Source organism: Homo sapiens, chromosome 1, assembly GCF_000001405.40.
Source record: "Homo sapiens chromosome 1, GRCh38.p14 Primary Assembly".
Lineage (NCBI taxonomy): Eukaryota > Metazoa > Chordata > Mammalia > Primates > Hominidae > Homo > Homo sapiens.
This window is the reverse complement of record NC_000001.11, coordinates 3,076,656-3,100,038: the sequence shown is the minus strand read 5'-3', so window position 1 is coordinate 3,100,038 and position 23,383 is coordinate 3,076,656. Positions and strand designations below refer to the sequence as shown.

Below are 23,383 nucleotides of genomic sequence, written 5' to 3'. Positions count from 1 at the left end.
AGGAGCAGGCTCCTCTACGGCTCCCTCACCCAGGGGTGCCGAGCCCAGTGGCCTCCATCTCATAGGTGCCTCCTGGGGGCAGCCCTTGCTTGCCACCGACCCCCGATTTCTGGCCCATCTTTGTCCATGAGAGCCTTCAGGTCCTCTGTAGCTGCACTGGAAGGAGGTGGAGAAGGAGGGGGCGCCATCTCACCCACTCCCACGACGGTTCACTCTTCAGCACCTGCATTTCCTCCCATATAAGGGACGCTGGGAGTGTTTTCTCTTAAACGGTCTCTGATGCTCATCTTCCAACATACCTGCCATGGCGGCCTGGTGGGTGGCCCCAGCCTACAGCGGTGAGCCTGCTCCCCAAGTTCCTAATGAGCTCATGCTTGTCTCTGTGACCCACTGCACTCGGCACGTGCTGGCAGGCCTGGGATCAGGGAGCACCTCTCTCTGTGATGTGCCTGGAATATTTCTGAGCACCCCAAAACATTCACAGCCCAGCACCAGCCAGTCCCCAGGAGCCGCCCGCAGGATGCCAGGACCCTTGCCCCCCACCGGCCTTGTTTAATGCTCAGCTAGTCATTTACCAATGGTGTTGGGGACCCCGTGCTGAGCATCCGGGGCTCCGGGGCCTCCGTGAGGCTGGTTATTGGTGTAGCTGAAGCCACATAGCGGGCACACATCTCTCCCGGCCCCTTGGCAGCCCTGCCAGGTGGTCGTCACTGTCTGTATGTTACAGGAATAGGAGTTCTAGGCAGTTTGAGGACTCATTCGGGGTCCCTCAGTGGGAGGTGGCGGAGCCAAGGCTAGAACTGGGTTGGTCAGACGGGCAGTCCACAGCTGAAGGGCTGACCGAGCTGCCCTCAACCTGGGTCCAGCACCCCAGGGGCCATGTGTGGAGCCCCCAGGAAGCCCATTTGAGAACCCTCATTGCAGGCGACCTGGATTCCCAGAGGAGCTTGCTTCTCAGCGCTCCCACACGGCCCCCACCGCTCTGGGTCCCCTCGATGGGGCTTGATGGAGTGGGTGGCCCAACCCTCCTACTCAGCCAGGGATGGACCAGCTCCTTTTCTCGCCCTCCTCAGTGAGGCCGCTCAGCCACTCAACGGGCACTGAGAAGCAGCATTTGCCGGGTCCTTGGTGGGGAGGTGGAGGCAGCACCATGGCTGGGACACAGCCTCGCCTGCAGGACCATGCAGCAGGCAGCTAAGGACAGTGGGTATGCAGCGCCCAGGAGCCCAAGGAGGCAGCCAGCTCTGCAGGGCTGGAGCAGCAAGGGCATCAGAGGGAAGCCCCCGGGCCTGTCCAGAAGACTGAAAACCCCCTTGTTCCTTTGAACTAACAGCACCCCCGTGTAGACCTCAGGAGAAGCAGTTTTATCCCCCAGAGAAACTGAGGCATTTTAGAAGGCGGGGGTCCAGTGCAGTGGCCACGCTCCCTGGGGCACTTCCTTTCTGTGGCTTTGCCTGGGGTCTCGAAGCCCAGGGAGGCCAGGCTCTGGGTCGGACCTTCACCCATGGGGGAACCTCTCTGGCTGCAGGGATGTCCCTCTCCCCAGCTGGATGGGAGTCTGGGGGAAGCACCTGGGTGGAGCGGTGAGTGGGGGAGACAAGTGGGACCCTGGGCCAGACACAGCTGGTCTTTCTGACCATTAAGCCCCTTGCCAGCTCGCCACTCCGCAACCCCCCAGTGGGCAGTGAGGGTGACCTCGCCCAAGAGTTGACACCCAGGAGCAGGGAGCAGGGAGCCGGCCCCAAGAAAACCCACTGGGCTGAGGCTGGTGCAGGGTGCAGCCCGGGAGAAGGATTTTCCAGACCCAGGGTGGGGAACTGGATCCAGCCCCATGAGCCTGGAGGGACTCTCAGGGCCCTTGACTGGGAGCTTCTCACCTGCAGAGGATTCCACACGGCTCAGTGAAGGCTCAGCCCCCAGCACACTGACAGGAGGCCTCAGTGCCCTTTACAGACTGGGAAGGAGCCGCACAAGGGCGGGCAAAGGAGGGAGAGGGGCGGGGGCAGTTTCCAGTCCTGCTGGAGGAGCACCATTGGACACCTGCCCTGTTGCAGACAGGGACTGTGCCTGAGGTCACAGGGACAGGACAAGAAGAGGGGACGGGTGGGGACAGCAGGCATGGCAGAATTCTGCCTCCTGGGTCTTTCCTGCACCCTGTGCCTCCTCCAGCTCGAGGGGCGTCTGCTGCACCTGCCTCCCATCCCTGCATGCTTGGGCCCCCCTGGGATCTCTCTACACGAGGCCAAACAGAAGGCGCTGCCTCCCGCCCCCTCACACCTGGCTTCCTGAGGAACCTTCCCAGGCCTCGGGGAGACCCTGTGGCTGCCCCTGTCTCTGCCTCCCTCCATGGTAGGAAGAACAGCTGCTGAGGCCAAGACCCCCAGAGGGGCTGTGGGGCGGGAATCTCCAGGCTGGAGATGAGAGGGCAGGGCCAGGAGGGGTCACTGGAGGCTGAGCTTTTGGAGGTGCGAGTGGAGAAGAATTCATTTTTAAGTTCATCACCGTGTGATGTTGGCTGGTGCTGGCTTCTGGCCTGTATGGAATGAGGGGACCCTGACCAGCACCTACCACCATTCACCTGCGGGGAGACGCCAGGTCAGGGCACGGGGCGGCAGCCTGGCCACTGTTGTTATGCACAATGACTCTGCTCACTGGAAGCCCAGAGTGTGCTGGGCACCACCAGGTCCTTTGGAGATGCAGCCCTCGGCAGCCCTGCCAGGCAGACACCGTCACGTCCTTTCTGTACTCAGAGGAATTGGGAAATTTGTCCGAGGCAGGTCACACGGACAACAGATGACCCGTCAGAGACCAAAACTTTTGTACACAGCTGAACCCCTTCCAGCTGTGGGTACAGAGAGAGGCTCCTCAGCTCTGCCCTTAACCTTGCCCATGACCTTGGCTACGAGGGCAACTTCTCGGCACCGCTCTCCCTAGAATCCCGGCCTGGGTGAAGCGCTGTCTGACCCCAGCCCCAGCAAAAGGGTCCCCCAGGAGCACACGCACCCGATGCACCCATGGCTGCAGCAGGTGGCTCCCAGAGGGAGCCGAGACTCTACTGGAAAGCCTGGGAGAGAAGGGGCACAGAGAGCAGCCTCGGCGTAGTTTTAAATGGGCACGAAATCACCTACATGGTTCCACGGGTGGCTTCTTCCTAGAAACCACGGAGCTGTCTCACCTGGTGGTGGGCAGAAGCCGCCCAGACTCCCGTCCTTGGCACAAGGAAAGACAGGCACTGGGAAAACTGAGGAAGATGAGGGCCACAGCACACCCACCCTGCTCGGCTCTCGTAGGGAGAGGGCCCACTCACCATCCACCCCTGCTCCGGAAGCCTTGGAGGGCTCAGCAGCCCTGGGACGGGGCCGTCTTCCTCGCTGGTCCAGGGGCAGGAGAGGGAGTCCCTGGCGTCCCTCCCTCACGACCTTTCAACACACAGGCGGCAAGGCACTGAGGGAGGGAATGTGCCCCAGCCGGCAAAAGAGGAAGAGGCAGGTGCAGAGGGGAAGCTCAGGCTTTGCCAGTGGTTTCCAGCATCAGCCACAAGGTGTGGATTCGAAACACAGACCCTCTCCCTCTGCATTCAGGCCCAGTCGCCTCCCCTCCCATGACCTCATTCCTTCCCCTATGGCTCCGACTTGGCCAGGGGAGAGCGTGGACAAGGGATGGTGCACAGAGCCTCCTGGGGGTCCTGCGGGCAGGAGACGTGAGGAAGGGGCCCGCGGGGTTCTGGGGCTAGAGAGGACAGGACAGCGAGGAGGCTGCCTTGTGGGGAACTGCCATGAGCAGGGAGGTTTGAGAACTCAGGGAGAGGCAGGAAAGAAGGCAGATAAGGAGGAAGAGGAGCAGGAAAGCCGAGGTTCCTGCCCACATGGGGGTTCAAAGCACCGGGGCCTTCCTGGGGTCCAGAACATTCTAAGCATGGGGTGCGTACCCTGCACCCCAAATAGACAGGCACCAGGGCCCCAGGGGTGACAGGCAGCCAGGACTGTTAGGGGGCAGGTCCCGAGGGCTTTGCAGGAAAGTGGGGTGTCCCAGCCAGGGCCCACTGAGCCGTTTGGAGGAGGAGAGACAGGGAGGGAGGGAGTGTGACGTTCCACTGGCCCCAGACCCCTGTCAGATGCTGAGCGGACCTCGAGTCCATGCTGCAGGCAAAGGCCACCCTCTGAGCATGAGGACCCGCACAGTGAGCTGTGATATGAGGCTCCCCTGGGGCACCCCAAGCAGCCCCCAGGGCATTCCAAGGGGCAGATGGACCCCCATACATCACCCCCAACTCCACAGAGTCATCTCCCACACTGACCCCTGCCCCCCTCAAATCCTACCCTCCTGGCCGAGGCCAGAGGCTGCCCACGGCACACACTGTGAGGCTGCGTCTTGGGGTGGCTGTGTCTCAGGGCAGCACAGGGGTCCCTAGGGCATCTGAAGGAGGAGACCGTCCTGTCAATCCTGTGGATGTGGAAGCTGAGTCCAGGGGGCACTAGGGAGGACCAGCAGCTGAGCCCGGCCCCCCATGAGGCACCACGCAGTGCTTGGGCTGCCCCGGGACACAGCCGCACAGGGCTGTGCTCCAGGTCCTATGGGTTTTCTGCCTTAGGAGTGCCCCCCACCCCAGGAGGGGGATACCACTGTCCATCTGACCCATGAGGGTAGGTCTGAGCCCATGACATCTGGCACCCCAGCGGCACCCAGCACCCCTGGAGACACACCGAGTTGTTTGCTACTCCACTTTCTCCGCAGCCCTCTTCTCGGCTACCTCCCTGGACAGCCCTGGGCCACCTCAACCCAGCTGCAGGGCTGCTGGCTGAGGCCTGGTCACCAAGTGCCAGCATGGTTTGGACTGGCGGTTGGGGAGGTGGAGCTCCAGCCTGGCTTTTCACGCACTGAGCTGGAGAGGGGCCTTCTCATCACAGGCAGGTGGGCAGGGCCCTGGGAGACCCCTGGCTGCTCGCCTGGGCCAGTGCCCCGTCAGGACAAGCCTGGCTCATCATCTCCCCAACCGGGGAGTAGGCCAGGGCAACAGAGCCGTCCCCTCCTGCTGGCTTCATCTCGCCCAGCACGGGCAATTCCCCCATGCAGCTGTGAGAAGGTCTCGGTCACGAGCACCGGGGTTCCGGGCTGTGTGGCTCCATCCACGTCGGAAAAGACCAGGAAGGAAGACACACCTGGCACTCATGCAGACCCCCTCCTTCCCACCCAGAGTCCCTCGGCAACCGCAGCAGGGACAAGGCCCCACCTCCCTGGCTGCAGGGAGTCCAGGGAGGCCGGGAAGCACCCGAAGGCCTTGCTCATTTAAGCAGGAACGGCGCAGCCACTGACACTGCTTGCTGGGCCGGTGCTCACAGAATGTCTGCGTGTTCTGTGAAAGGAGTCTGTTCACACCAATAAGCAAAACATATTCCTGGTCATCAGCATGAAAGTCACCTCCTCATCACAGCTCTCCAGGGCCCAGTGGAAGTGACGGCCAAGCTTTATAGCGTCCCGGCCCTGGCTCTGAACCTGCTGGGGGCTTAGAAGGGCAGCCATGTCTGCACTCCTGTGCCCAAACTGCCCTCTGAATGACCGGATCCTGATGCCAAGCTAACAGCTGCCAGTCCGGCATGAGCAGGCCTGAGACGGGCTGGGGCCACGGGCCAGCATTGACCTTGGGAGCCCACGTCTCTGCAGGGTGATGTGGCTGCACTTAACTCGAATTTACTTCCAAGTCGTTCCGCTCTGACAATTCCGTGGCTGCCCAAGGGGTGCTTAGGAGCCACCTGGGAGCTGTGGAGGCAGGGTGGGGATGGCGGGTGCCTGCTGCCTGTGCGCCCCCGTGCCACCAGCCACCTGTCTCCTCCGCGGCTCCAGGCCTGGGCGGCGAGAGTTCCCCTTTTCCTCCCCAGCTCTGCCCTGCGTGCCCCGCCCGCCTCTTGCCCTGCACACTCAGGTGTTTGTTTCTGGGTCACCAGCAGCCACAGACCACACTGGCTGCAGCCACCACTTTCCCCAGACCACGTTGCTGGCTGGTGCCACCACTTCTGCTCGGCACTTCCTGAAACACAGCAGCCTGACCACAGAATCGCAGAAGCCCACACACTCATGGCAACTTCTAAAAAATTCTCGGGGCTCAGGGAAATTTGTCAGGAACTCCTTCCTTGTCTCGCCTGCTCTCCGCCCGAGTGGGATGGGGTGCACAGGCCTGGCCCCACAGACCCCCGCACGTTCCCCCTCCTTCCCTGCGCTTCGGAGCTGGGCTACATTGGGCATTGCTCAGCCACAGCCAGGTGGGAGTGGGCGTTTGCCCTGAGCTCCTGCAGGCTAGCCTCATGCTGTCCACTCTCCGCTGCAGGGGTCCCTCCCTGCCCGGCTTTCACCCCTTTCCTAGGGTCTGCCCCTCCTTCTCACCACGACCACAGCATGCAGCCTCCGAGAACTCATGTGAACCCCACAATCTAAGGGGCCCACAGGCACTGCGACCTCAGCCTTCACGACCAGACACACAGTGGAGATGCCGGGGGTCCCAGGGCGCCCAGAGGCAGAGAGCACACAACCTGTGGCATTTGGGCTCTCATTCCCCACTTGATTCCAGGGCCCCCAAAGTCTGGAGAAACAGTCAATCAATTCTGGAAGAGGACTCTTCATGGGCAGATGGTTTCTGACCGAGTCCCAGCTGCACCCCAGTCTGACCATGTTGCACCCTGGCTGTACAGAAATGTGGAGGGCAGACTGCCCCGGTGCTACCAAACATCGCAACGTTGGACAGTACCCAGGCTCAGGCCCCAGCATGGAGCTAGCCTGGGCTCTGCTCTGACATCGGGCTAGCCTGGGCTTTACCTCTGAAATAGGGGTAGCCTGGGCTCTCCTGACATCAGCCAGCCTGGGCCCTTCAAGAGATTTGGGTGAGGAAAACAGTATGAAGGGGTGAGAATTCCTCTTCTCACCACTTCTCACTTCTCAGCCAGGTCAGGAGAAGCGGTCAGCTCAGGGAAGTTACTATTGAGGGCGGTCAGCCAGGGCTGGCCCCATGTTCCTGGCTTTACAGGAGTTGGACAGTGATTACAGAGGTGGGACGCCACCTCGGTCCCTGCAGCAGGAAGCACTGGGCCTGAGGGGACCCAGGGGCCCGAGGTAGCAGCCCTGACTGCCTCTCACTTCTGTCTATGTCAAAGTCGTGGAAAGGGGCCACAGCTGCAAATCTTCCCCTTTGCCCCTGGGTTTAAGATGTTGCCTTGAGACTTCATGTCCTCCCTGAGACAGCCCCTGACCCCAATCCCAGCCCAGGTTGCCACCCTAGAGCTGCCGGGAGACCCCAAAGTGCATCAGCCCCCAGCTTGTGGCTCAGAGCCCAGACCGGGGGTGCCCAGCCAGAGGAAGGAGGCTCCCCGCACCCAGGCGCCATCCAGCACGAAGTTGTGCAGACCCCTCCACAGAGCCCTGAGGATGCCTGGCCAGCCTGAGGGGGATGCAGTGTGTGCCTCCCACTCATTTCCCACTCGCTGACCAGAAATGGTGAGTGCTGGATGTTTTCTAACTAAACAGTACATTTTGCCACGGAAATAAAAAGACAGCTCCCAGCATGTCCATGGTCACAATGCCCCGATCCTGAGACCTGCTCCATTCATGGACCCAAGTGCTGGTGGCACTCGGTGCCTGCAGGGTATGGGCACGTGTGAGGAAAAGGCTTTAAGGATGAGCAGTGGGGCAGGACCGGGTGCCTTTGCCCCTGGGGGCTGATACCCTCAGGAGCACACAGTAGCCTCTGCCTCGGGACTCACGAAGAGCAGCCCTCGTGCCTGGCACCTCCCTGCAGGACTGCCTCTCTGAGCCCCTGGGGTTGGGCCCTGCTGCAGAGCCATACCACGTCACCCACCACCTGGGGCCCCAGGCACAGTCGTGGTGCTCTCTGAGCCTGGTGTCCATGTCTACAAGCAGGTAACACCAAGCATGCAGCAGTGCCGTGACATGGGGGCCCAGGGAGCATCCTGCGATCCTGCGTGGTCCACCCTTACCCACGGCTGGCTCCATCTTATCCTCTACATGGGGACCTGCGTCCCCTCCCCATGAAGCCGTCCTGGGGCTAACGCGGGCCTCCCAAACCTAGCAGTCCTCACGGTCCCATTGATTTTCCTGGCAGGTTCTGCGATGTGAATTCTCTCGCATCTGACCACCTGCGAACTGTCCATCACCCCCGTTAGAGGGAGGCCCTCTGGGGACAGGCCCTTTCTCTCCAGGTTCACAGAGTCGGGGCAAGTGGGGGCCCCTCCATCAGCCTGAGTACACTTGGAGCAGCTGGCTACACCCCGAGCTCACGACCCATATATCTATGGAGGGACAGCTCCATCCCCTCCCCGCAGGGCTGTGGGGTGATCATGGAAGGAGCACAGCACAGCTGCTGGAAGGATGGGTGCTCAGTGAAGGCAGCTGCAGCCCTGCCCAGCAGAGGTGCCTGGGCAGAGGTGCCCTCCGCAGCAAGGACCCCAGCCTCCCTCAGACTCTCCCAAGGGAATGAGGGGTGCACGGAGAAGTGTGGCACGGGGCAGGCGTGGAGAGGAGCCGGCACGAGGAGTGGATTCGGCCCAACCCCTGCCCTTCTCACGAACTCCCCCTGGATCTGAGTCCTGCTGAAAAGCTGAGCGTTGCCAACCTGGGCCTTGCCAGGAAGATGGGCCTTGGAAGATGAAAGAGATGCTGTCGTCTCGGTGCGGGCCTGGCTGCACCCGCTTAAGTCAAGTCCAGTGCTGGTAACGTCCCAGGTGACCTCCACTCCAAACCAGCCTCTCCCTAGGCCTCAGTTTCCCCATCCGCATACCCTGGGTTTCAGAGAGCCTGTCTGGCTTGGCCAGGTCACGTCTGATGGAAGCGCTCTGTGTGGTTTAAGCTGCTATTGGTCGGTGGCTCCTTGGGACAGGATTTGGTCTCCCTGTTAGCGGTCATTCCTGTCTTTCCATTTGTGTCTCTTCATGGCGCCTTGGCATTTAGAGAAGAAGCCCCGTCCAGAGCTAGAGCTCGGGGTTAGGGAGAGTTTGCGGCTGAGGTCTCCGGGCAGACTTGCGGGGAGAAACGTGACTTTCCTGAGCCAGACCCTGGAGCCCTGGGGGCTGTCTGCTTCTCGTTCGTGGCTCCCCATAGATCACACACAAGGACATCCAGGCCTGTGTGCCTCTGAAGCAGGTCCTGGAGATTCTGCTTTCGGCTCGGAGCCTGAGGGTCCTGCCTCCCCACCCTGCAGGAGTGTCAGCTGCTGCTCCTGGGAACCTAAATCAGATGCCTGGCATGGGCTTCAGGGGCCAATGCCCAGGCAAAGACCTGGCCCCTTTCAATCTGGGGTCAGGCCGTGGTGCAGCCAAGTTCAAAGTCAGAGGCTTTGGGGTTCTGACGTGACCTGTTGGTGTCAGACTGGGGAGTAGCCAGGCTGTGTGGCCGAGTCTGCCCAGGGACAGAGTCAGGTGAGAAGCCCTCGGGCGTGGGCACCCAATCTGCCTCTTAGCAGGGACCCACACCTGGAGAGAGCACAGGGAGCCCAGTCTTTGCTTCCATTTGGGTGAAAACAGCCACTGGCTGCCTGAGGAATGTCCACGTTTCATGGGTGGTCTCAGGGGAGCCAGTCGCCCGGCCTGTGTGCGCAGGCTCAGAGGAGTTCCACCAGGCCTGCCGAACGGCGGCCACCAATCCCCACCCAGCCTCAGGGCCATGTGGCGCTTCTCACGAGACCAGCTCCAGTGCCTGAGTCTCCCAGCTGGACTCCCTTGGAAGTGGATGGAAGCGCTTCGGGAAAGCGGCAGTCACAGCCCTCAGTGTCAAGCCCCGTCTGCTGGGCAGTCCCAGGCCAGGTCTGGACGCTGCATGTCCTGTGGGGGACCAGCCCCGTGGTGGCGTTCGGGGTGCATCTGGGCATCAAGAAGCTTGCTGGCATTCTCTTCTCCAGTCCCCATGTCACGAATGAGCACACAGGGCCATCCTGGCTGGGGGGTTTGTTTGCCTTTGTATGGCAGTTTACTTTGCGGGGGTTATATCTTATTTGTCCGGTGAAGCTGTGAACAAGTACGAGGCTGGAACAGAGCTTCTTAGAAATTTGGGAGATACAGAGTAGGGACCACCCGTAAAAAGTCATGGAACTGTGGCAGGAATGAATGGATGAATGAATGAATGAGTGGATTTTAGACGCTGGGTCACAGTGGTTCTGAGCAGCTTTCTCTGCAGCTGGTGTCGGTCGGCCGGAGGAAGTTGGAGCAAGTCACCAGCTTGGTGTTCCTATTTTCATTAAATCAAATGGAACATCCCTGGTGCGGGTGGGAGACCCGGCCTCGGGATGCAAGTCCTGGATCAGGCTCGGCCCGGAGGAGACGTAATGACCAGGGAAATTCGACAATGCCAGACCAGAGGCTCCCTGCGCTTCCTCGGCAGTGGCTGCTGCCCCAGAGCGAGTCACACGGGGAGCCCCTCACCGGCAGGGGCATTTCTGTTTAAATTAGAAACACTATTGTAGAAAGGCCCAAATAAACAATATTGGTTTTCTGGCCTGGAGATGCTTGGCGGGGGTTTATTTTCCCCACGTGGGAAGGCTGACAGGCTACTGTGCTCTGAGAAGTTTCCACCCGCTTCCGCCTCCTGCTAACCAGCTCTCACAGCCTCCCTCAGCTCCGAGTTCCCAAACCATGGAGGGTGCAGCCAGGTGGAGGCAGCTATGGTGCTGTGTTGCATGGGGTCACAGCCCCGGTGGGGGGTGGGTCCCAGGGGTCCCAACGTCTCTTAGAAACGAGGCTCAGCCTGGGCTACCAGCAGTCCCTATTGTGCGGGAGCTGGGTGCAAGGAGTTTCGGGGTCCACACCCCTTCTCCAGGCAGGGGCCAGGGCTGGTGCAGACACCATCTCCATTCAGACGTCGAGTCGGAGGGGCCCAGGCCTGCAAAACACCCTCACCGCTGAGGACAGGTGGGGCGACAAGGGGCCAGGTACCAGGCAGCTATTAGAATCCCTGCATCTCGGACTGGCGCGGTGGCTCACGCCTGTAATCCCAGCACTTTGGGAGGCCAAGGTGGGTGGATTACCTGAGGTCAGAAGTTCAAGACCAGCCTGGCCAACATGGTGAAACCCCATCTCTACTAAAAATACAAAAATTAGCTGGGCGCGGTGGCATGTGCCTGTAACCCCAGCTACTCAGGAGGCTGAGGCAGAAGAATCGCTTGAACCCGGGAGGCAGAGGTTGCAGTGAGATTGCGCCATTGCACTCCAGCCTGGGCGACAGAGTGAGACCCCATCTCCAAAAAATAAATAAATAAATAATAAATAATAATAAATAATATAATAATAATAATATGGCCGGGCGCCGTGACTCACGCCTGTAATCCCAACACTCTGAGAGGCTGAGATCAGGAGATAGAGACCATCCTGGCTAACACGGTGAAACCCTGTCTCTACTAAAAAATACAAAAAATTAGCCAGGCGTGGTGGCAGGTGCTTGTAGTCCCAGCTACTCGGGAGGCTGAGGCGGGAGAATGGCTTGAACCCAGGAGGCGGAGCTTGCAGTGAGCTGAGATCGCGCCACCGCACTCCAGCCTGAGTGACAGAGCGAGACTCCATCTCAAAATAAATAAATAAATAAATAAATAAATAAATAATAAAAGAATCCCTGCATCTCCCAAGAGTATTCGGGGGAAAGCCTGCTGGGGGGGTTGTTACTGGTTTCTGGATTGTTCTCAGTGACTTGAGCCCCAGCTCCCTGATTGAATGCAACAGAAGGGAAAGGCGGTTTGAGGATTTTTATTATTATTATTATTTTTATTGCTTTCTAGACTGTGCCCAGTGACTCCGGTCCCCAGCTCCCTGATTGAATGCAACTGCAACTCCAGAGTCCTGCCTACGTCCTCGGTGAGGAGATTTCTCAGCCAAACAAAACTCCTGTGTGTGCAAGCTGCACCGGCAGCAGCGGTGGAGGTCAGGCGAAGGAGCAGCACAGGGAGAATGTAGAAAATAGACAATCCTGTTGGAAGTTTAGGCCTCATAAATCTCCACCAGGCTGCTGGCTGACTTTAGAAGGTGAGAGAAACAGCAGTGAAATGAGGAGGGCAAGAAGAAGGCGGCACCAAGGCCAAAGAGCAGGGGTGTCTCGGGGGACGGAGGGAAACAGCTCACTGAGAAATGTAGTGTAATCTTTGCTCAACCACAAACAGGAGGCCAGACCCCAGAGCACAAACAGAAACGTGCCTCCCTCCCTGGAAAATTGATTTGTCAATAACCAGAGACTTGTTGTCCAAAGGCATCTCAAGGTGGTGAAAAAAAGAAGAGTAAAAATGGAAACAATATGGTACTGGCAGACACAACCAAGACGTGATTTTTGAAAAGAGTGATTCCAGCCATCGCGAGGGCCACCGGCCATCCCTGGATTGATCATCTGGACATGGCATTCCTTGGTCACGTCCAAGGAAACAGGGTGCGTTGGGCATTTTTGACTAAGAATGCATCTGCGGATAGGGAAATCAAAGTTGGTTTCAATCTCCTCCTATGATCTAAAAACTCCCCCCAACAGACACAGAAAAATGTGAATTTCCTCTTTTGGGGCTGAGTAGCCCGCCACAGACAAGGAAGGACCCTAACCTAACCTGACCCCAAGGCAGGAACAACTTCCTGCCGGCCGATCCAGAGTGGGACGTCCAGGACTCCTGTCCACCTGCTCTCGCGTTCCTCAGCCCGTGCTCTGTGGTGCACTGGGTGCTAAGATTACGGGGCCTCTTGCTGCTGTAGAGGGATGTGAAGGTGAGAGGCCCTGGCTGGTCTCAGGTGGGGCTGGCCTCAGGTGGGGCTGGTCTCAGGTGGGGCTGGTCTCCGGTGGGGCTGGTCTCGGGTGGGGCTGGTCTCGGGTGGGGCTGGTCTCGGGTGGGGCTGGTCTCGGGTGGGGCTGACCAGCACGTGGTGAGGCTGCCTCTTCTGAAAGAATCCTCACGTTAACCCTTCACCTCCAAAGGAACAGGTGCTCCCAAGAAGACAGTGCCGGCAGCACGTGCAGCGTTTCCATATGAACTACGAGCATGTCGCTGTTGGCCTGAGAACTTCCCTCACTTGGACTTCAGGCTTTCTGTTTCCTTTTTTTCCTTTTCACTCCTTCTTTTCTTTTTCTAACTTTCATTGGAGGTGAGTGATACCATGTTTAGATTGCGGAATTCCATCGCTTAATTGCTTCACTACTGGAAATTTCAGGAGACTTCTCATTTTTCACTGAAATCTCCAGGCGCGAGCGCATTTCTGCAGATCTTTTGCCTAATTAACGGCATGCTCCACAAAAAAAATAAAGAAATGAAGACAGCAAGCCCCGGCAGACGACGCCAAGAACCACTCGTTAGCTCCGAAAGGAAGCAGCGGAGTAACTTGGGAAAATCTCCACCCAAAAACTCTCCGGTGGAGGGCGTCAGTGGCCGGGCCTGGGTCTGGCTGCTGCAGCTGGGGGAAGGGAGCCCCAGCCTCCCTTCCCAGCCCTTGTGCTTCCAGACAGGACCAGGAAGCATCCAGATGACAAGGCAGCCCGGCGGGAGGAGGCCAGAAGTGGAGGGAGGAGGCCAGTAGCGGAGGGAGGAGGCCAGAAGCAAAGGGAGGACACTGCACCGACACCTCGGGCGTTTTCCAGCACAGGCTCTGAGGGTGGGCATGTGGGTAGCAGCCCCGTGGCAGCTTTCCTGACCAAGAAACTCAGAGCCCATCCCTGCATCACTTGACGGGGGCAGGGAACCTTGGCCTGCAACAGAAACTGCAGGCCGAGAGGACTCTGAGCCTGGGGGTCGCAGCAGGTGCGCCCAGGGCAGAGCCAGGCTCAGCCGCCCTGGCTGTCACAGCCAGGCAAGCACCTTATGGTTTTTAAGGCCTCACGCACTCACGAGCTCACCCTGAGCAACCTCAGGTTCCCCATCTGTCCTGCCCTGAGAGGAGGGGACCTGGAGTGTGTAGACAGAGACCTTGCAGGAGACCAGCATCCAGCCGCCTCAGGCCATGGTGACCTTCATCAGAGGTCTGTGTGCCTGCAGCTGTGTACGCATTCTGAGACTGACTTAGGCCAAAGGAAGGTGCCCAGCCTATGGCCCAGACCAGGGCATGGGGTCAGGTGCAGCCCCTGTCCCTCCCCTCTGTCAACGTGAACCCACGTGAGTGGGGCACCAACTCTCAGGGCTGGGCGCCCTGCTGGACGCCAAGCAGCTCTGGGGAGACAAGGCCTGGGTGGGGCTCCCACAGCTGTGCCCATCTGGGGCCCTGTAGGCCTGGTAGGAGGCAGTCCTGGCTGAGGGCCACCTGCTGCCCACCCGACCTGTGGCCCAGAAGGTCAACCCAGGCGGCAGAAAGAGACCTGGCATGGCCACCCTGAGTGCAGCCCTTCCATGGCCTCCAGGAGGACACACACATGGGCAGGATGCTGGGCGTCCTAAAGGGACCACCCGTTCTTGATGACACCACAGCCCCACGAGGATGGATTACCCCACTCAGCAGATGGGCACACTGGGCTCAGAGAGGCCCAGGAGGAGCCGGGGTCACTCAGCTTTTGAACAGTGGGTGCCAGGATTCAGTCCAAGTTGGCCTGAGCCAAAGCCTTCCCTTGTCCACTACCAGCCAGACCAAGAGAGCAGATGCTGCCAGAATGGGGAGCCCTGGGGGGCCCTGCTGCCCAGGGTCAGGTCCCAGCAGTTGGCAGCTTGTTCAGTGAGGGGACTCGGAGCCCCTGTAGTCCCCCAGGTCCTGCTGGGTATCTAGCCGCACCTTGGTTCTTGGCTGTGGGATGATCCCAGCCCAGCAAGCGAAGGCCACCATAGCCGTGGCTCTAGGAAACTCTGAGACCCTCCCAGCACCCACCCAGGCTTCAGAGGCCTTGGCCAGGCGGGTCTTCCCAAGGCTGCACTGCCTCTGCACATGGTGGTGTCCAGATTCCACCTGCACGAACGTTCTAGGTCGGAGTAGGTCCTGGGCACCAGCCTGGGGCAGTGAGAAGTAACTATTCTGCTGCCTAGGCTGTCCATTGACACAGAGAGGTGCGGCTGGGGACCAAGGGGTGCAGGAAAAGGGGCTGGATGCTGGGCAGAAACCATCCCAGCTGCTGGAAACAAACCCCCAGCACCCGCCCGCCTGCAACACCTGCCGCAGGGTGCGCGGCTGAGCTCCTCTCCACCTGGCAGCCACCCTGGACCTACAGGCTGTGCAACTCCAGCCCCAGGTGTGCACCCGAGAGCTACTGGCCCAAAGAATCACTTCCCTGGCCTGCCCCCCGACAGCCTGCAGGGCTCAGCGTTTGTGATCCAAGGGGGACGCCCGAGAACAGTGAGGCTGGAAGGGAAGATGCTGCCTGGGCCTCTCTGGACGTTTTTCTGCCCCACTGTGTTTTTTGAAGCGGGTGGGAGCCCTAGATATAAGCGCTGGCAGATGTGGCCTCGACTCAAATTCTCAAGGACAAGTGCAGAATGGACGGTGCCTCCCTGGCTCAAGTGTCCAGGGACAGCGGCCTCCATTCTGGGGCTGCACCTCGAATTTCGGCGACAGAGCAACTGCAGCAAGCAGCCGCTTTATCGGGGGCCCATGCAAGCTCAATATTGCTGTGGCCCCTCGCCCCCAGCATTCCGTGCCTCCCAGGGGGGCAGATAATCCCACAAAGGGCCTCGTGCCAGAGCACAGACTGTGGAGAGGCTCTCTCCGGCCGCCGAGCGCTTTCGGCCCCATCAGCACTGTGTTCCCTGGAATCTTCTTACTGGGCCCCATGCTTCAGATCGAATGTCCCTTTGAAAGGGCCAGAGGCGGCCCCTGTGCCCTGCCTCTGGGTCTGCCTGACACCAGATCCAGGGGGCTCCAGCCCAACCTGCCCCACCCGAGGGGTACAGGCCCCCAGACGCCCCAGGGCCCGCCAGGACCGCAGTCCCAGGCAAGGAGAGGAGTGAAAGGCCTGCATTCTGGCCCAGCAGACACCAAGGCCCTTTCTCCTCCAGGGAGCCCACAGCAGCGCTGGGATTCGGTCGTCCCCAGCCACCTCTCCTCTCGCTCCCTCCACAAGCGTGTGGGTCTGCCAAGACCCAGGGACATCTCTCCGAACAAGGGTCCTGTTCTCTTCTCTCGCGAACAGGGTCTCCTGATCTGATCTCTGCATAAGTCTCCACGGTAAAGCCAGTCCAGCTCATGGAGTCACATTTGTGTCAACCACGTGTTCCATGCGTGTGTGGGCACCATGTGCTGATTACGGTGAAGCCCCTCTCTCCTGCAGTTCCCTGGGCAAGTCCAAAGGGTGTCCCCTCAATGACAACACAGACACAATCCCAGCAGTCGGAAGGTCAGGTGGATAATGGTGGGGTGAGGAGGAACAGCTCTTCCCCTCTCAGCTGTGGAAACTGCCCCTCTGATAAACAACACCCCCAACCCCCTGGAACAAAACTAACAGGAAACCCCCGAGGGCAGGATCCAGCTCCGGCACCCACCCTCCCCACCCAGCATGAAGCTGACACCCGCCTCCCCTGACAGCAGGCGCTGTGTGTCCTGACCTGCAGGGCATCCCTCCGCAGCAGGCTGGTGACATTCCTTGGTTCGCCTCTTCACAGAAATGATGAAGAAGCCCAGGCTGTGGGTGAAACCCCCAACCCTAGAAAGGTGTCTCCCTGGGCCATAAACGCAGCACAGCTTCCAGGTCAGCCCCAGGACGATCTGCCCGCCCGGCACACAGCAGGCCCCGCCAGCGCCAGGCCCAGCCCAGATGGCCGCACTGCCTTGAAATGAGCGCGCCGCCCAGTCCAGGACAGGGCTATGATGGGGAGGGATGTGCAGTTCCGGGGCCCAGCCGCCAGGTTGCTGCTTGGTGGGGCGCAGCCAGGAGACCCGACCCCTGCGTCTCCTAGCCATTGCCACTGCGCTCATCCAGTGGTCTCGGACGAGACGTTTAATCTGGAGGCCGCATCCAGAGGAGCCTGCCCGGCTCTGCTCTCACACACACAAGCCTGTCTTTGGCCAGTGAAAGTTCCAGAAACCCCAAAATAGCTCCTGACTGCCTGGATCCTAAGGACAATAATAGCAATAATCAGAGCCACAGGCGAGCGTTCCGGGTGCACTGTCCCAGCAGGGGGGCTCGATCTCCAGCGCCCCCACCTCTTCCTCTGTGTTTCATCTGTCCCAGAAGTGTCAGGAGGGCCGAGCATCCTGTCCTAGATGAGGGGAAAGCGAAGGCAGCGGCCACAGACCCAGGGGCCACAGGCACTTGCTCCCACGCAGCACCCAGGCGCCGGCCCCATCGCTTTCCAATCTCGCCTGTCCCCCAGGCCCCCTCGGTGGACTCCGCACAAAGCGGGCAAAGCTGAGCTCAGCCCTGGGGCAGCTGAGATGAAGCGCACCCCACCTCTCCTTGCTGCGGCAACAGGGTGCCTCCAGCCCCCCAGGTCCAGCTCCAGATCCTGGGGGAGGGGGTTGCTGGGCATTGGCCCCCAACCCCGGCTCTGTCCTGACCCAGCCGAGGCATGGATGCCAGCAAGGGAGTCCAGGAGTGACCCTCGGAGCTGCACCCCCAGCCTCAGCTCTGACTGGGGTGAGGGAGGTTTCCCCGGAACCCCATCTCTGAACACCATTCAGCCCAGCTCAGGGGCTCCTTGGGAATGGTCCCCAGACCCTGCAGGCTGAGGTCCCTCACCCTGGGTTTCCTACGTGTGGCCACTCTCCTGTCCCCATCCTGTGGCCACAGCTGAGTCCAGTTGCAGATGGGCCGTTACCCCTCTGACATTGGCCAGGCAGACCCCGAGGCGCCCTCCTGGACCCACAGGGCCTCCTGCCTGCTCCTGCAGAACCCAAGGAACAGAAAACTTCCCCTCAAGGAAGACCACACAGGGCCTGACTGCACAGGACCTGACTGCAGAGGGCCTGGCCGCGGGGGCCTCCCACCTTCCTGGTCACACCAGGGCCCCCGGGCCAGCCTCCTGCCCATCAAGTTCCCGTGGTTTGGTCCAAGGTCATCTAACATGGTGGAGCTTCAGTTCATTTGGGAAGTGAAAGCCAGGTGCCACCTCTGAGGCTGGAGGCTGGCGGTGTTCGATTTGAGGCGTCAAGGGAATTTCAGAAGCCTCCACATGTCAGGGGTGCAAGGCTTGGGTTGGTGCTCACGGGGGCTTTGCCGCTGCCTTGGCACACTGTGGCTTCATCTGCCCATCCTGACTGCTGGCCCTGAAGGCCTCTGCCTCTGGGTCTGTGAGGGGAGCTAGGGATGGCAGGGTCTTGCTTTTGCAAAGCTGGTGTTTAGTCAGGGCAGCAAGGAGGTGGTCTCCCTTGCTGCCCTGCTGCCCATGGAAGGTCCCCCAACACGGGCCTTCCATGGGGGCCTCCCACGTGCCCTGTGGCCAGGCTCTACCCACTCTCTAGTGACCGACACCCAGGGGTGGGAAGCGGCTGTGTGGCCAGGAGGTCCAGCTGTCCTGCCCAGTCCACAGCAAGGCTTCCTGGAGCTGCCCACTGCTCACCCCCCGTGCTCACAGAAGGAAGACCAACCCTGGCCGCCGCCATCCCTGTAGGTGATGCCAAGCAGTAGCCTATACTCTGCAGAGAGAGCTGGGGACTGTCAGAAAATGCAAGTCGGCGTTCTCCCCACCTCAGCCCTGCTCCTCACACGGCCACAGCTCGGTCTGGTGGGACAAGGAGGGGGCTCTCCAGGGGCCGGCCGGGCCAGGCTGCAGGAATGGGCCTCTCACGCCCACCGTGGCCACCAGCCCCTCGTTCCCTTTGAACAAGGGTCACCTGTCAGGAGCGGACGCAACCTAAAACCCTCTGGAAAGAGCACAGAATGACCCCTTATCAGGTGCCAGCACGGGGGACTCGGGGTACAGCCGCGAGGGGCCTCGAACCCAAGTCCCGCCGCCGTAATTAGCAGATGAGATTCAATAACAAACAGCAGCTTTTAGCGGCTTTATCTAACCTCGGGAAGGTAAGACTAACACCTTCGACGGAGGGAAAGTTAAGACTCCGGGGCCTCTGCCCTGCGGTTCAGATTCCCAGCCATGAAACCAGAGAGCCCCTCGTGGCTACGCTATCTGCCCCCCGATTCTCTGAGCTCCCTTACTCTCTGCTTTTTTTTAGGCCTTTTGTTCATGAGGACACTCGGCGGAATGTGCAGACCCCCCCCGCCCCGCCACCCCCTCTACACACACACACTCTCAGGCACACAAGCTCTCCGGGAAGCGTTGGGTGCTCGGGCCGGGGTTCTGCTACTCATGTGGGCTCAGGGTCGGAGACGCCGAGTCTCTGGGGCTCTGAGATATTAACAATCTGCCATCGTCCCAGATTCGCCTGTGGCTGCTCAGATTTCCCCGGCCCGGAAGAAACCGCCCAACATGTTCCTCGGAACAGAAATCCAGGAGCAGTTGCCCGGTCCGAGGGGGAGAGCAAGCTGGCTTTGCTCAAGTTTGCTTTTTCTCAGGCTGCAAGCTTAGGGGCCCGGGCCTCCCGTTTTTGCAAAATGGATTGTCAGCCGAGTTGATGAAACAAAATTTGGGGTTTCAGAGGACACCACCCAGCATATCTTAGTAGATCTTATTTTTAAAGTCATGCCAAATCACTTCCAGGGAAAAATCGATCTGTCTCTGATAGCTTTTCCTCCTGCCAATGTGATAAATAAATAATTAGCCACATTGTCGGGCTGTTTCATTAAAGAAAAGGATGGCTGGATGGGCCGGGGTAGAGAAACCGATCGGAAAGCGCGGGTCGGCCGTAAATCCCCGGTGCTTCGTGGCACCATTTGTATTCTGTCAGTCACTCGCTGTACGCTCAGCCTGGGCTGGGAACTGAATACCCCATTCAGAGAGGCACTCGCACGGCGTGTTATTGCAATTTAATATTTTCACACACAGACACATCATTATCTGGGAACCTGACACTGGCAGCATAATTCTGTAATTTTTCAAGAGGGCCTAATTTTTCTAAATGCAAGCACCAGGGCCCGGGATTATCTAAACAGCCTCGTTTCCTCTTTGTTTCTTCTCAGGGGTTACAGCGTGCGGAAAAGTGCTCCAGATCGCTGCCGCCTCTCCACCTTTGAACTTTTCCAGTCTCTTCTCCCACAGTGACCAGCTGCAGAACAGCTTTGGGCCGGGTGGGCACGCGCTACTGAGGCAACCAACTCTGGCGCCACGGAGGGCTAAGGACCGAGGTGCAGCCAAGGCAAGTGGCTCTTTCAAGGCACAAGAGGGCAGGGAAGTGTGCGATGTTGCTGATCAACAAAAACAGAGTAGCTTGGCGGGCCCTCTCAGGCCAACCTCAGAAGCACGCTTGCCTGCAGGTGTGTGTGTTGTACACAGACACAGAGCACACACACGTCCTCACACTCCCTGGAGACAATCTCAACATGCCAGCCAGATGAAGGGGTATGTGAGGGGCCACTTCTCCCTGGAGCAGTCTCAGCTCTGGCCAAGAAAACACCCTCTGGTTTTCAAGTAGTTCAGAAACGCATCGGGTTTTCCAGGAATAAGAGCCTGCGGGTGATTTGCAAGGAAGGCCAGAAATCTCCCAGCAAGCCAGCTCCTGTGGCACGTCCCTGGGGCCAGGCCGCTCCATGCGGCTTGCTGCTGCCTAAGGCAGCAGTATTTTCACCAAGTCAATAGACACTCTCTGCATTACAGGCTTCCCTCCGAAAGGGACCCAGGGACCTTGGGACAGTCCCCCTGACAGCCCTGCAACCGCAGGATCCCTGTGCACACACAGGGGCTGGGCCAGCAGGGCAGCATGAAGGAGCCCTGTGCACACACAGGGGCTGGGCCAGCCAGGCAGCGCGTGGGACAGGGATGACAGTAGCCCCTCTGATGTGAGGCTGGAAGGGGCTCTCAGGCCACCACTGCGGAGAGATGCTGACATAGCCGAGACCTCTCCTCCCCATCACGGCCTTCACTCGGGAGCACAGTCTGAGGCCAAACAGGCCCGGGCAGCGGCGGAGATTCCGGGACGCGGCTCCACCAGGGAGGCGGTGGGCAGCAGGGAGTAAAATGAGGATTAATGCCCGGAGCCGTCGGAGACAGTCACGCCAACTTCCTGTTTGCCCGGGGAGGACCGCAGCCACCCTGCGGTCACCGTTTGGGCTCCTCCGGTGAGCGTCATTTTTGGTCTTTGTTTAAATGTTTTACGGACTGATATGACCAGCCTCTCTGACGAGGCTGTTACAGCCCATTGGGCAGAGAGAAATGTCTGGGCATTTTTCAATGCGTTCCCCTTTCCCTGGGAGACCCAGCTACGGGAGCCATGGTGAAGTCTATTATGGAAATCCATAGTTGCTGTAATACCGGCTGCCAGGTCTGGATCAGATACAGGGATTCAACCATGTCACGGGCAAGAGCTCCCAGTCACATTCAGAGCCCGTTCCTCACGTATGCACCCCGTCATTTCCTCCCTCCGCTAAAACGTTGGCAGTGTCCTGCCTGCCACAGGTACTAGAGAAACGAATTTCATTTGAACTACCGAATTAAAAAGAGAGAGGCAGAGGCTCACAGCAGCAAAGAAAATTACATAACCCTCCTCTCTGGCAGCCTCCCTCCCTCTCTTCTGGGCCTTTCGAATGTGAAACAGGGCTGGGAACAGGCACCTCCGCGCCAGTGCAGAGAGGAGGCCCTGAGCCTCATGTCTAGAGCGGCGGGGGTTGGGGTGAGCTGTTGGTTGGATTCTGGCTTTCCTGCCATCTTAGACACCATGGTCCAGACCCCCAGGCGAGGGACCACTCCCCAGTGAGGACACAGAGTCTGTGTGGAGCTGCTGAGCCCCGACTCGCCACAGCGGGAGGCAGCCTGTACCACCCAGAGCTCGGGGACCCTGTCTCCCTCCAGGTGGGCCCCTAGCATGCATCCTGCAGCTGGAGAGGTCCTCTGCCCCCTGACATGCAGGTCTCGGAGCCCGGCACACAGGAATCCCACCACACCATGATTGACACAGGGGAAGATGAGAGGACGGATGGGAATGGAACTTGCAGAAGCCCCCAGCCCCCTGCAAGAACTAGGAGGCCTCTGATAAGAAAAAAAGTGGCACGTGCCAACAGCTGTTTCCACCCCAGGACAGAGGCAAGGACAGAGGAGACCCAGGGAGGCTGAGTGTGGGGAGGCAGTAGGGGAGGCATCCACTGCATGTGGCAGGGGCCAGAACAGATTCTGGCACCTGTGCCTCCTAGTTTGAAATGAGCAGCTAACAATCATTTCATGTTTTATTTCAGGGCTGAGCTCTAAGGCAGGGGTCAAAGTGGTTCTCCTGCTGCAGGCTAGGGGAGACCCCAGTGTGGTTTGGCTTTATGATGTGGCCCGGGCCCTGCCTACAGCAACGATACAGTGCTGGTGGTCCACGCACGGGGCCTGGCCTGTGAGCACCTGCAGCCTGCACACCCACCCTGCACAACACCCACAAAGGCTGAGGCTGAGGACTGACCAATCAGCTTCCCAAACAGGCCAAGGAGATAAAAACAAAACTCCCCATCTGACTGCCTGGCTGATTGGAGGAGACATTGTAAAGCACCCCAGCCTGGCTCCAGGACCCCAAATTCCAGGAAAAAGCACCTACTAAACACCCTGGTGGACCTTCCAGGTCCTTCTGTGCAGACACCCCTGCTGGAGGAACAGGTTCACACGAGTGCACACATCGCAGCACTTCAACCAAGTTCAAACTCACTTTTATTCTCCAAAGCGTCCTCACCTTTACCTGGTTTCACAAAGGGGAGAGTCCAGCAGCAGTGAGGGAGGGGGCCAGCAGCAAGCCCAGGCCAGCGTGGGGCTGGGGACCCTGGGAGAGTGGGACACACACACGATGCAGAGTTGGGGTGAACAGAGCCTGGGTTTCTGGGGCTGATGTGGGATGCTCCTGAGCTTGTGTCAGGGGGCAGGGCCCGGGCCCACGGGAGACCTCGCCAGCAGCCTCCAGGAGGCCCGTGGACCAGGACTTCATATTCGCCCCAAACATTCAGCTTTGTTATTCTTCTAAAGTGGGAAAGGAGACAAAGCTACTGATTTCCCAACTCCATAGCACACCACACAGAAAGCAAACCGCAGGCCTGGAGACCTGCCCTGTGGGGGTCACTTCAATGGGGACTGGCCCCAGAGCCAGAGGTTTGGGGAGAGCCAGCCAAGATGCAGACCAGCCCCTCTGAGAAGCAAGAAGGGGCTTCATACCCCGAGATGTGTGCTCTGTGGAGTTTCCTGTGTCCCCCCCAAAAACACCCACCATCACCCCATGTTTAAATTCCTTATAGAATATACATTTGGTGTCAGAGGAGAAAACCAAACCTAAGTAAATCCATCCAGGTAAGTCGGAAGGCTAAGGAGGGACAGGGAATAGTCCTTAGTGTGCCCAAGGAAGCCGAGCCGGTTTCTGGGAATAAACTAAGAAGCCCCGGTAAAGCCTGGAAAACCTCTCCTCGCACACCCATGCAAAGGCAGCCCTGGCCCCTGGCCTCCAGCTAAGCC

The 23,383-nt window shown here is 59.4% G+C and overlaps 1 protein-coding gene across 2 annotated transcripts in view, besides 2 other annotated features; it reads right to left on the bottom strand.

Moving 5' to 3' along the window:
* Positions 1-23,383, bottom strand: part of PRDM16 (PR/SET domain 16) — a 369,419-nt gene that overhangs the window by 338,583 nt on the left and 7,453 nt on the right. The gene's annotated exons all lie outside the window — the stretch shown is intronic.
* Positions 3,943-4,788: an enhancer, noted in NCBI's record as "H3K4me1 hESC enhancer chr1:3011815-3012660 (GRCh37/hg19 assembly coordinates)". NCBI's record gives its function as "activates a minimal SCP1, AML or CMV promoter by ChIP-STARR-seq in naive H9 embryonic stem cells {active_cell/tissue: H9 hESC(naive)}" and the evidence as "EXISTENCE:reporter gene assay evidence [ECO:0000049][PMID:30033119]".
* Positions 7,808-7,954: a silencer, noted in NCBI's record as "fragment chr1:3008649-3008795 (GRCh37/hg19 assembly coordinates)". NCBI's record gives its function as "represses an EF-1alpha promoter that drives an FKBP-Casp9 reporter gene in an ReSE screen in HepG2 liver carcinoma cells {active_cell/tissue: HepG2}" and the evidence as "EXISTENCE:reporter gene assay evidence [ECO:0000049][PMID:32094911]".